The sequence below is a fragment of the Homo sapiens genome, chromosome 15 (assembly GCF_000001405.40).
Source record: "Homo sapiens chromosome 15, GRCh38.p14 Primary Assembly".
Lineage (NCBI taxonomy): Eukaryota > Metazoa > Chordata > Mammalia > Primates > Hominidae > Homo > Homo sapiens.
In genome coordinates this window covers 68,481,192-68,493,443 of record NC_000015.10, presented here as the reverse complement: position 1 = coordinate 68,493,443, position 12,252 = coordinate 68,481,192, and the positions used below count along the sequence as shown (strand labels likewise).

General features: G+C 47.2%; 1 long non-coding RNA gene across 10 annotated transcripts; it reads left to right on the top strand.

Moving 5' to 3' along the window:
* The first annotated feature begins 5,756 nt into the window (after positions 1 to 5,756).
* LOC105370873 (uncharacterized) lies at positions 5,757 to 10,243 on the top strand. Of its 10 annotated transcripts, none has more exons than XR_932409.3 (4): positions 5,757 to 6,244; positions 6,678 to 6,967; positions 8,344 to 8,617; positions 9,811 to 10,243. It is a non-coding gene; the product is annotated as an uncharacterized LOC105370873 (long non-coding RNA). The 10 variants fall into 10 exon arrangements; XR_932408.3 differs by having other exon boundaries at positions 5,757 to 6,283; positions 6,678 to 6,800; positions 8,407 to 8,617; XR_932404.4 differs by having other exon boundaries at positions 5,757 to 6,283; positions 6,678 to 6,800.
* Positions 10,244 to 12,252: the final 2,009 nt, after the last annotated feature.

Sequence of the window (12,252 nt, the reverse complement as noted above, 5' to 3'; positions counted from 1 at the left end):
AAAAGTCCAGCTTCAGTCTCAGAGTGGGAGATAACTCGATGGGAAAAGTAAAAACCAAATAGACCTCATCCTCCTGATTCTTCTACAGAGCAAAAGTAAACACAAATCGGTATCTGCACACTTAGCCCTGTGTCTGGCATGTGATGGGTTCTCCAACCTTTCCATTGTTATTTGTAGCTGCTGCTAAGTGCTGCCTGAGTTCACCAAAGGGGCCAGCCTTGGACCTTCCTCCCTGTGTGACCTCCCTCCCTTCCCAGTCTGTCAGCAGCAGAGACTGGGAATTATGCCAGTGTGAGGGTCGGTGCTCCTGGCCACTCTGTTGAGGTCTCCACTGGCCTGAGCTCTCTGCACGCTCCACTGAGTCCCGGGGAGATGGTTATGAGGTCACCTCTGGCAAAGGTTTTTTAGACACTCCCCTCCACATCCTCCTTTTCTTGAGTCAAAGCAACCCATGATTCAGCCTCCAGGGAAGAGGAGTGAAGAGAAGCTTTGAAAACAACCTGCAGGGCAGGAGGCAAGAGGCCAGCAGCAGGACTGCATGAACACTGATGGGTCACGGGCAGCAGATGGGAGTTTTGCTTCTAGAGATAGACAGATCACAGAACAAATCCCTACTCTCTGCAACTTACCAGTTTTGTGAGCCCTTGGATAGTTTCTAAACCTCTTTGAGTCTCAGTTTTCTCATTTGTAAATTGAGATTCGTAGTCCCTAACCCTTGGATAGTTGGAGGTTTAAAGTGGACTAGTGCCGGTCCATAAACAATGTTTTAACTGGTCTGCAGTGAGATAAAAATAGAAATGGAGAGTAAGGGTTCAAAAACTTCTACAGCACTTTAAAAATGCCTGACATCCAGACACTGGCTCCATGGACTTATCTCATTGAACAGGATGTAGACCAAAATATTGCTCTTCACTGGACTGGAAATACATTTAAAAAACAAAAAACGGCCGGGTGCGGTGGCTCACGCCTGTAATCCCAGCACTTTGGGAGGCCGAGGCGGGCGGATCACAAGCTCAGGAGATCGAGACCATCCTGGCTAACATGGTGAAAACCCGTCTCTACTAAAAATAAAAATAAAAAAATTAGCCAAGCGTGGTGGCGGGCACCTGTAGTCCCAGCTACTCAGGAGGCTGAGGCAGGAGAATGGCATGAACCCGGGAGGCGGAGGTTGCATTGAGCCGAGATCGCGCCACTGCACTCCACACTGGGCAACAGAGCAAGACTCCATCTCAAAAAAAAACAACAAAAACAAAAACAAAACGTGGTTCTTGACCACCAATAGTTTGGGAGGCACCATTGTGAAGAATCTAGCTACCCAATAAACAACATTATGATCAGAACACGGGAGTGCTGAGTGGTATTGGATTTGGTATGTTTCCTCTCTCCCCAAGCTGCCCAGGTTGGTCTATGGCAATCCCATCCTTCCTTTTATGAGATCTGCTCTGTGCCTGTCACTGGGCTTGGGACAGGAGAGTCACGTCACCTTTGACTCATGCCTCCAGCTCAGCCCTCACATCCAACCAGTTGCCAAATTCTGCCTCCCCCAGTGTCAGTGTGTTTCCCATTTCTGCCCTCTTCCTTCCAGCCCCCCTGGCCCCCACAGGACACAGGTCCTTGCCACAGTAGGGTGGTGGTGGCCTCCTTCACACACGCTGTCTGCATCCTGACCCTCCCCACTCAACTCCATCCTCCACACTGCCTGCAGAGGGAGTAAATGTTTTTATTTAAATAAACGTATTTAAGAAGAGTTTTTGATTTATAGAAAACTTGCAAAGATAATACAGAGAGTTCCCATAGACCCTTCACCCAGTTTCCCCCATTGTTAAATGCTTTGATACATTTGCCATAACTAATGAATCAACACTGGTACATTACTATTAACTAAACTCCATACCTGTTTGGGTACCATCAGTTTTGTTCGTAATGTCCTTTTTCTGTTCCAGGATCCCATCCAGGATGCCTTATCATGTTTAGTTATTATGTCTGCCCAGCCCTCTCTAGCCTGTGACAGTTTTTCAAGAGAGGGAGTATTTCAAAGCAGACTCATGGGTTTCCACTCTGCTACAACCTTGGTGGCTCCCCCATTGACTTCCATGACCTGGCCCACAGGACTCATGCCTCTACTTCCATTCACTGTATTCTTCACCCAACCTGAGGCCAACATACAGACAGCCCAGTGTGGGGCTTGGCTCCTGTAACTTTCCCAGGCATGACTTCCCTCTTTCCTTCTTAGTATACGAAATTCCTTCTTGTCCTTCAAGAACCAGCTGGCATATAATCTCAGCCTTCTGATGATCTACATCTGGCTGCCCCATGGCTCACTGCTTATTCCTCTGTTTAGCATGGATTCTCTTCTACTGCCAGGTCTTTCTCCCCACTAGACATAAACCCTCATAAGCCAGGTGGCTGTGGCATAGTGGCTATGCAGCAGGAGAAATTCGCTTATGTTACATTGGGCAAGTGTCTCAGCCTCTCTGACTCAATTTCCTCATCTGTAAAATGTGGCCAAAGATACATACATATCTCCAACGGTTGAGGTAAGAGCTAATGTAACCAATGTGTTATATACTAAATTCTCAACAAACGGTGGCTATAGAATCAACCTAAATGCCCATCAGTGGATGAATGGATAAAGAAAATGTGGTACATATGCACAGAGGAATAGTATTCAGCCATAGAAAAGAATGAAATCTTATCATCTGCCAGTAACATGGATGGAACTGTAGGTCATTATGTTCAGTGAAATAAGCCAAGCACTGGAAGATAAATATTGCATATTCTCACTCATGTGGGAGCTGAAAAGTGGATCTCATGAAGGTAGAGAGTAGATTTGTGGTTACCAGAGGCCAGGAAGAGGAGGGAGGAGCGGGGAGATGGAGAGAAGTTGATTAATGGGTACCAATATACACTTAGATAGAAGAAATGAGACCTGGGGTTTGATAGCTAAGGAGGGTGACTATAATTAACATTAATTTATTATACATTTCAGCTAGAAGATAATAATTCTAATGTTCGCAGCAGAAAGAAAAGATAAATGTTTAAGGTGATGGATATCTCAATTACCCTGATTTGATCTTTACACATTATATGAATGTATCAAATTATCTCATGTACCCCAAAAACATGTACAAATATTATGTCTCAATTTAAAAATTTTTAATTGAAAAAATGGTATAGTTATATTACTGTCATAGTTATTATTTTTGATTCTACCTCAGCCCCTCTGTGCAGAGGCTGGCACATAAAACGCAATCAGAAATTGAATTTGGGTGGGTGCTGTCACTCACACCTGTAAACCCAGCACTTTTGGAAGTTGAGGCAGAAGGGTTCCTTGAGCCCAGGAGTTTGAGACCTTCCTGGGCAATATAGCGAGACCCCATCTCTTAAAAAAAATTGCATGATGACGTGAGCTTGTAGTCCCAGCTACTGGAATGCTGAGGTGGGATGATCCCTGGAGCCCAGGAAGTCGAGGCTGCAGTGAGTTAGAGTTCTGATCGTGCCACTGCACCCCAGCCTGGGTGACAGAATGAGACCTCATCTCTAAAAAATAAGTTGAAGAAAAGAATTGAATTTTATTTAAAAGCTCCATCATTCCACAAAGGCTTTTAGTATTTATAGAGAAGACCCACCAAAGGAAAGGGCAATGCTGAACCCGGTGGAATAAATCACAAATGGTGGAATTTCAGGCAGCAGCAGAAGAGGTATTTGGGGAAAAAACATTTCCTGTCTGTGCTCCTAGAGTCATACCCGTCTGCATCCAACCATGAATCCTGGCCACAGAGTCCTTCAGCACAGCTACCCTGGCCCTAGAGAATCCTAACCATCTCCACAACAATGCTGCTGGAACCGATTCCCATAATCACAGTGTGAACAATTGTCTCTGGGGCAAAATTACCCAGACAATACAGAAGTCAGCTTTGGAGACTGACACACAGGCTCTGTTTGGGCAGAGAGGACCAGCAGGGTTTCCAGTCACAAAGGCACACTGTTGTCATATTAGTCATCAGATGTCAGTGAGAAAGAGGCCCTTGGACATCACCTTGGTGGACAGATGAGGAAACTGAGGCCCGTAGAGTAAAAGGGCATTGCCCAGCCTCAGTCACCATCCATCAGTTCATTTGTTTGTTAATCCATTCATTCCATAAACATTTGGCGAACATATTCTCTGAACCAGATCCCATGCCACTGGGGACAAAATGATGAATGTGATTCCACAGTTTAAAAAACAGCCCAGGCTTAGTGGTGTGGAGACGTCTCCAAGATTCCTTTCAGGCAAGCTCCCCCTGCCTTGTGGGTAGAGTGACTTAGTTTGCTGTGGGAGGCGCATGAATGATTCTGGTCAATATGCTATGGAGCCGGAAGCTCCCAGCAGGTGCCATTCCTTCCAGTTAAAGCTTTGACTCCTCATCAGTCACCGGTCCAACAATTCTCCTTGCTACCCCTAATCCATTCTCTGCCCTTCCATGTGCCCTGTGTCAATTGTATTCACCCCTAGAACCCTAGCATCTAGAACAGTGCCAGCACATGGGAGGTGATATGGTTTGGCTCTGTGTCCCTACCCATATCTCATCTTGTAACTCCCATAATTCCCACGTTATGTGGGAGGGACCTGGTGGGAGATGACTGAATCATGGGGGCAGGTCTTTCCCATGCTGTTCTTGTGACAGTGAATGGGTCTTAAGAGATCTGATGGTTTTAAAAATGGGAGTTTCTCTGTACAAGCTCTCTCTTTGCCTGCTGCCATCTGTGTTAAGACGTGACTTGCTCCCCCTTGCCTTCTGCCATGATTGTGAGGCTTCCCCAGCCACGTGGAATTTTAAGTCCATTAAACCTCTTTCTTTTGCAAATTGCCCAGTCTCAGGTATGTCTTTATCAGCAGCATGAGAACGGACTAATACAGGAGGTGCTCCGTAAATATTTGCCAAACTAATGGAAATGCTATGTAAACTCAAAAGCACAATACAAGTACTAGAACCAGTACCAATGTGTTTGGAAACATTGCATGTGGTTGTGTTCAGTCAGTGTAGCTACTGGGGGGGCTTGGGTTCAAATCTCAGCCCAGCTTCTGACTAAACAACTAGCCAGGTGACTTAGGGAAAGTCACTTCCGTTCTGCAAGCCTCAGTTTCCTCCTCTGCCTCATAAGGTTAAATGAGATCATGCTTCATAAAACACCTGGTTCTTTGTGTATCTGTCACACAAGGGATAACCAATATGACTATTTGGTTACATTTGGCTTTTGTTGCTTAGTTTATTCTTACATAGATGGGCAGCTGGATGTTAGGGAAAAACAGGGACAGGAAAGAGACTCCATCCAGTGGCTCTCTGAAGATTCACCCTTGTTATCAGTCACTTGGGATTCTGTTATCAGAATTTGGGATTGCTTGTTATCACAGCATTACCTAGTCTACCCTGACTAATACAAGGGCACTTTGAGAATCTGATGGAAGCTCAGGCCACAAGAAAACTGCACATTCATGCAAAATTCAGAACCTTTCAATTTTAATGTCTTGAGATTTCGTTGTGTTTCTAAGATCCTTGATGTCCCACAGCCTCCTCTTCTCAGCCTTGGAATCTGAGGCACCTGGGTTGTAAGTGATGCTATGTCAGTGTTCACAAAGGCTCACAAGTCTGCGAAGTGGCCAAGATGAGCTGACCCTGTCACCATGGAGCAAGGCCTATGTGTGCAAATGAGTCATGAGCTGAGAGGAAAGAGCTTGAGCCTGAGCTTTTTTTTTTCTTTTCTTTTCTTTTCTTTTTATGATGATTGCTTGAGCCTGAGCTTGTTTGCCAGATGCTTTCACTAGCCCAAGCTTGTTTTGTGGATGCTTTCTGCTGCCAGCTACTTTGTAGTCCCTCCTGTGTGACAGCATCTTGCCATCAACGGGCTGCAGAAGAAGGGGTGCTTGTTGCTATTGTGAGCAAACACTGCATAAACAATCAGCTCACATGTGTGTCCCAGAGCGTATGACCAATGACCTGGAGAACTCTCAGGCTGTGGGGTGGAGAGAAGGCCATTCTGAGGTCAACTGAAACCTCACTTGAGGGGCAGTTCCGTAGATGGGAATGAGGAGAGAGTCATGGCCACAGCCACCTGGCCAAGGAGAGAGGCCATAACTGCCAGACAGAACCAAGGATGGAGGGACTTCAGCAGCACGAACAATCCACACTCAGCATGGGTCACTCTCTGGGACACACATTTCCCTCTGGCTGAAAGGCTGAGCTGCTCCAGGGCCAACTGTGAGGTCAGACAGCTGCCCAGGGATGTCTCCAGCCACTCAAGGGTGTGTACTCCAGAGCAGAGAAGGGTGGGATGGGGGCAGGGGAAAGAAGGACCCTGGCCTGGGTGTCAGGCCTCCTGGTTCAAATCCCAGACTCATCACCAGCCTCCTGGGGAACCTGGGGCCATGTTACCCCTCTCTGAGCACCTCCCTATCTGGGCCCCTGAAGGGGCTCTGCCCCAGTTTTGAGGGGTAGAGGACCCCTCTTCCAGGCTCAGGGTCAGAGCTGGCTTCTCCAGAGTTGGCAAGTTGGCAAAGTTGGCAAGTGGCTGGGGCTTAACCACCTCTTCCTATCAGAGGCTCATGGCTCTGTCCCTGGGCAGGGGCCACTCTCTGCACTCCAGAAGCCTGCCTACTCCCCAGTATCTTCCCCACTGGTTATTATTATTCAATGCAGGAAGAAGAGACCACTCACCTGTAATTTCAACAGCAACAAAAGACCTGAGGTTCCACCATCAGAACTTCACGCCCTAAGGAAGATGCAGCATTTCCTGTAAAATGCAAGTGCTCCCAGGCAGAGGTAGCTCCCGAAGCCATGATCAGTTATGTATACCTTAGTGGCAGCTGATTAACAGACTCTTCCCCAGAGCCAGCTGACAGGAAGCACATCGGGGTAAAAGGGAAGATGAAAACTTGGGTGCCTGGAGGAAGGGAACAAATGCGAGCAGGAGCATGGTAATAACATAGGTAAAATAGCAGACGTTTATACATTACACCTGTGTGCCAGGCACTGTTGTAAGTACTGGATAGATAGACAGATAAGTGGATAGATAGAGAGCTAGAGCTAGAGAGAGAGAGTGAGAGAGAGAGAGAGATTTATTCTGGCAATAGTACAATGCCATGGGTGTTGTTATCATCACCATTTTACAAATCAGGAAACGGAGGCCCAGAAAGTTCACATGTGCTGGTCTTTGCCCTCCAGACCCACCCTCCACCTTTCTCCTCCCTGCTCTGTGTCCTGAGGGCTGATCTCTGCCCTCAACTTTACCCACTGCCTTGTCCTCTGGCTTCTAGTTGGACTCAGCCCACAGGGGCATTGGCAGGAGTACAGGGGGTCAGAGTATTTGCCCAGCTTCCTTCCTACCAGCCTTGGTTTTAGCAGAGCTGCTTTCCTCTTCCCCTGGCCACAGGTCCCACCCTCGGCCCCTCTCCCAGGGCTCTAGCTGCCACCACTTTCTTCACATGCCCCTTGCCCTTGCTCCTGACCCCTCCAGTCCCAGAGGTTGCACAGCCTTCTGGGGCTGCCCCGTGCTTTGTGGGTTCTGCACACACCTCTGTAAACAGCCCCTCCTGCAAACTCTGCTCAAACATCCATCTCCTGTGGGACCCTGCTCAACATCACTCATCTGGTAAGAGCTAGAGGCGGAATTCAAACCCTGGCCGTCCAGCTGCAGGCTGCCAAGAGCCTCTCAGCCACTATGCCCGTGCCCCTCATCAGTAAGTGTTGGCAACTCCTGAGCCTGCTGTGCATCAGGGTCTCTGTGCATTGCTCTATGGAATGGGATCCCACAGGACTTGGGTCCTGAGGTCAGTGTTTATGAGGGAACGTGGCATTTGTGACTTTACATGACAGTTGCGCTCAGCAGGGTGGACTCACCTGATGCTCACAGGCCTGAAACTGACAGAGGGTCTGGAATATTCCTGCCATTTGTCTTGTCCTCAGTCCTGACTGAGTGTTCTTTGAGCACTCAGCCATATTTGAGCACAACAGCCATGTCAAAGATGAAAATCAGTCCAGGCTCTTTGCTTTGCCAAGGGGGAAACTGAGGCCCAAAGAGGGGTGTAGTTTGGGCCAGGTCTCCTGGCTCCATATGCCAGAGGAGGCATACAGCTCTGAGCAGGAAGGATGACTGTTTCCATAGGAGAGCGCCAAACGCAAGGTTGGCAGGAGGGGTCGGAGCTCGGCGTCCTCACCACCACTGACATTCCAAGGCTCCTCCGTTGAAAGCTTTATTTGGAGCCTAAAAGCTGGTAATTGGGAGAAGTCAGTGTGACTCATATACCAACACTGTTTTTGTTTTTCCTTTCTTAAAATTCTCAACTACTGGCTATTTTTATTTCAGAGCCAGAATTGATTTCGTGGCTTTCTTTCTCCTCTTCTGGGATTTTGTGCCCTATTGCCACAGAAACCCTGGGCCCCTTCCCCAGCTGTCATGAAGGTGCCTGAGTGATGGTCAGAGAGATGACCGGAGGGGCCCACCCGGCCACCGCAGCAGCAGCAGCCAAGGCGGGACTAAGCCTCCACACCCCACATCTCAGTCGTGGCCAGCCCGGGATGCCTGCCTCTCCTGCCCTGTGGTGTTGCTGTCCTCATATGACCCTTCAGTCCCCCGACATGTGAGTCTCCTGGGGACTCAGACCTGCAGCTCCTCACTCAGTCCCTGCCTTGGCACCCCTCCCACCAAAAAGTCTTCTCCACAGGCCCTGGCTTGCTGCCCTCCCCCCAGACATCCCCTGGTCTCCCCCAGCCTCCCCACCTCTAAACTCATCATTTGTGCTCTTCCTCCACATGGCTACCAAAGTCATCTTTCATTTTTAATTTGTATTTAACCAAAATAACATATAAGCACATTATTTTCAAAAATAGTGCTACAAATTCAGGAATGCAAACTAGGAATATAAATAAACTTTCTTTTTTCTCTGTTGCTCTCCTTCCTTCCTTCCTTTCCTTCCTTCCTTCCTCCCTCTCTCTCTTTCTTCCTGTCTCTCTTCTTCTCTCTTTCTCTCTCTCTTTCTTTCTCTCTTTCTTCCTTTTCCTTTCTTTCTTTCTTTCTCTTTCTTTCTTTCCTTCCTTCCTTCATTCCTTCCTCCCTTCCTTCTCTTTCTTTCTTTCCTCCTTTCTTCTTTCTCTCTCTCTTTCTTTTATTCTTTCTTTATTCAAAGTCTTGCTCTGTTGCCCAGGCTAGAGTGCATTGATAAAATCAGAGCTCACTGTAGCATTGATTTCCTGGACTCAAGTGATCCTCCTGCCTCAGCCTTCCTAGAAGCTGGGACCACAGGAGTGTGCCACCATGCCTGGCTAATTTAAAAAAATTTTTTAGAGATGGGGTCTCACTATATTGTCCAGGCTGGTCTTGAACTCCTAGGCTCAAGCAATCCTTCCACCTTGGCCTCCCAAAGTGCTGAGATTACAGGCATGAGCCATCACACCCAGCCAGAAATAAACTTTATTAAGCTGATAAAAGGGTACCTACAAAAATCCTACCGCAGATGTGATACTTGGAGTACCATGTGGAACACTTTCCCTCTGAAATCAAGAATGAGACCAGCATGGTTGCACTGCCACTTTTATTCATCACTGCACAGCAGGTCTTAATCAGTGACATAAACAAGAACAGACAAAAAGATATGCAGGGGCCAGAACACATTTTCTAAATTCCTAATATTGTAAAAACATTTTTAATTATTTTATTGCTTAAAAAATAATATAAACTACCTCAAATCCTTAGAAGGAGCAAGGTAGATGTGGAAATTAAAGATGCCACCAATTATTTGCTACTGCTCTGGGTCAAATTCCTCTCTTCTTGCAGCTGGACAGGCTTTAGGGACCTGCTTGAGCAGAACATGGTAGAAGTGATGGACTGGGGCTTCTGAGGCTAAGCCATAAGAAGCCTTGAGAATTTCACCTGGCCCTCACTGTCTCTGGGAGCCCTGAGCCATGATAGAAGAAGTCCTTCCTATATTGAATGTCCTTGAGACCTCCAGTACTGGAAAGGGCATTTGTAGATGCTCAGACCAACAGTCCAAACTGAGCCCAGTCTGCCAACTTGCCCTGCCAAGGTGTCAGATGCATATGTGAATGAGACCATCCTAGACCTGCTGATAGCCCATCACCCGGCTGACTGCTACTGAGTAACCTCTGCCAACTTCACGCCGAACACAGAACTGCTGATTTGAACTCTGCCTGAATTTCTTGGCCCACAGAACAATGAGATATAATTAAAAGGCAATGGTTCAAGCCACTATGTTTTGTAATTTGTTTTACAACAAAAGATAATCAGAATATAGCTGTAACAAATAGTGAGTACCAAACTTCTACGTAAAGATATACATGGATATTTTCTTCTATTTTTTTTTTCTATTTTAATTGGTTTTAGAGCTGGGGTCTCACTCTTTGGCTAGAGTGCAGTGGAGTAATCACAGCTCACTGAAACCTCGAACTCCTGGGCTTAATCAATCCTCCCACTTCAGCCTCCTGAGTAGCTGAGACTAGTCATAAGCCACCATACCTGGCTGATATCTTCTCTTTTACGAAAATTCATGAAAAACTGTCATCTCCTGCCTCCATCATTGGTTCCTTCCCTAATGGCACCAACTTTCAATTCTTTTAGCTCTTTCTTCTGGTTTCGATTTCCAAGTTTTTAAAAATAAATATGTATGTATTTATAATGTTATTACTTGAATTGCTTGTTTTTACAGAATCTCTTAACCTCCTGTCCTGGTAGTCTGGGATTTAACACTTTACCTGTGACTCTCCCACTTTCTTTATTCCCATATTTCCAAAAGCACACATTTTAATTAAATCAGTAAGCACATTTCCGTTACTATGTGTAGAAATGGTTCCAGATGGGTCAAATAGTGACTATGTTTATTTCCTGTGGCATTTAACCCTTTCTTCCGCGCTGGCATTCACCCCTTAGACCTGGCCCTCAGGATTCCTGCATGGCTCCTACGCTGGCCCTCCTCTGACTGCATCTTTCCAGAGAGATTGAGGTGCTCCCAGGCCCAAAGGGATGTCCCTACCTGGGGCCCCCACCCCTCCCCTCTGGCCACACTTCCAGTTCCTGGGACTCCCAAATTCCCTGGTCAAATGTCCACAAGCCCATTTCCAGAGAGTTCTCTCCAGAACCACTCCTCCTAAAGAGGGCACATATCCCTGGGCCCTAAAGGAGGCCAAGAGGTGGGTGCTTTCTGGAGGGGTGTGGACAGACTGGAACATGAAAGCCGACATGTCCCCATGCATGTGCACCAGGACCCTCAGGAGGCAAGAAATGGAGATCGGCCTCTCCAGGGGCCTGCCCTTGGTCTTGTGCTGGGCTAGCATTAGACCGAACGGCTATCCCCCCGGTCCCCCACCAGCCTCCATTGATTGGGTTTTCTAAATTCCCACAGCCATTTCTCCACAGTGTTCCAGATATATCTGTCAAATGTCTAGCAACAATTGCACCAATACCTCAAACCATCTCATCCATCCATTCTATTTCCCCCTTTTGTGTAAAAAAAACTAAAGAAGAAACACCCAACAGCCACTGGGTGCCAGGCAGTGTGCCCAGTGCTGGAGCACGTGTGATGCATAAGGTCGGCTCCTGTCCTCTGGAAGCTTGCAATCTGGTGAGAGGGCAACATGAAGCCTGAGGTTATCTCCTGAATGCTACTCTTATAGGATTTTCCTTAGTTCAGCTAAAGACGGGGTTCTTTGTCCCATGGCCATGAAAATTCAGGCTTGCAGACAATTTGGTGAGTAAGACAGGGTTTTATTGGGTGAAAAGGAAGAAAAGGGGGAAACAAGGACTCTCACTAGACCAGAGCCCCTTGCTGGAGCGCTTCCTGCAGGCAGCTTGGATCCCAGATTCCACACAGGAAAAGGAGGGGCCAGGCTCCTCCCCGCTGCAAACGGTGCAAACTTCCTGAGGCTCTACCCCAGTGCTGGAGTTTCTTTGGGGACCCCTTCCCACCTGGCTGTCTCACCACCTACACAGGTCCAGGCTCCCAGGGTGGCTGGGGGGACCCAGATACATAGAGAAAGACAGGCAGAAGGGGACACAGGGTGGGATGTTTTCATCTTGGGAATCCATAAACTTCTTACTGTAAAATTTCTTCAAACAAATTGAATGGGAAAAACATAAAACCAATAAGGGAGATAAAAGCAAGCTGTTTATGGAACCCTATAAACAGGGGTGGCTCAGAACACAATTTGAAAATCACTTTTCCAGGCCATTATACCAAGGTGTTTATAGCCATGTCACCTTTTT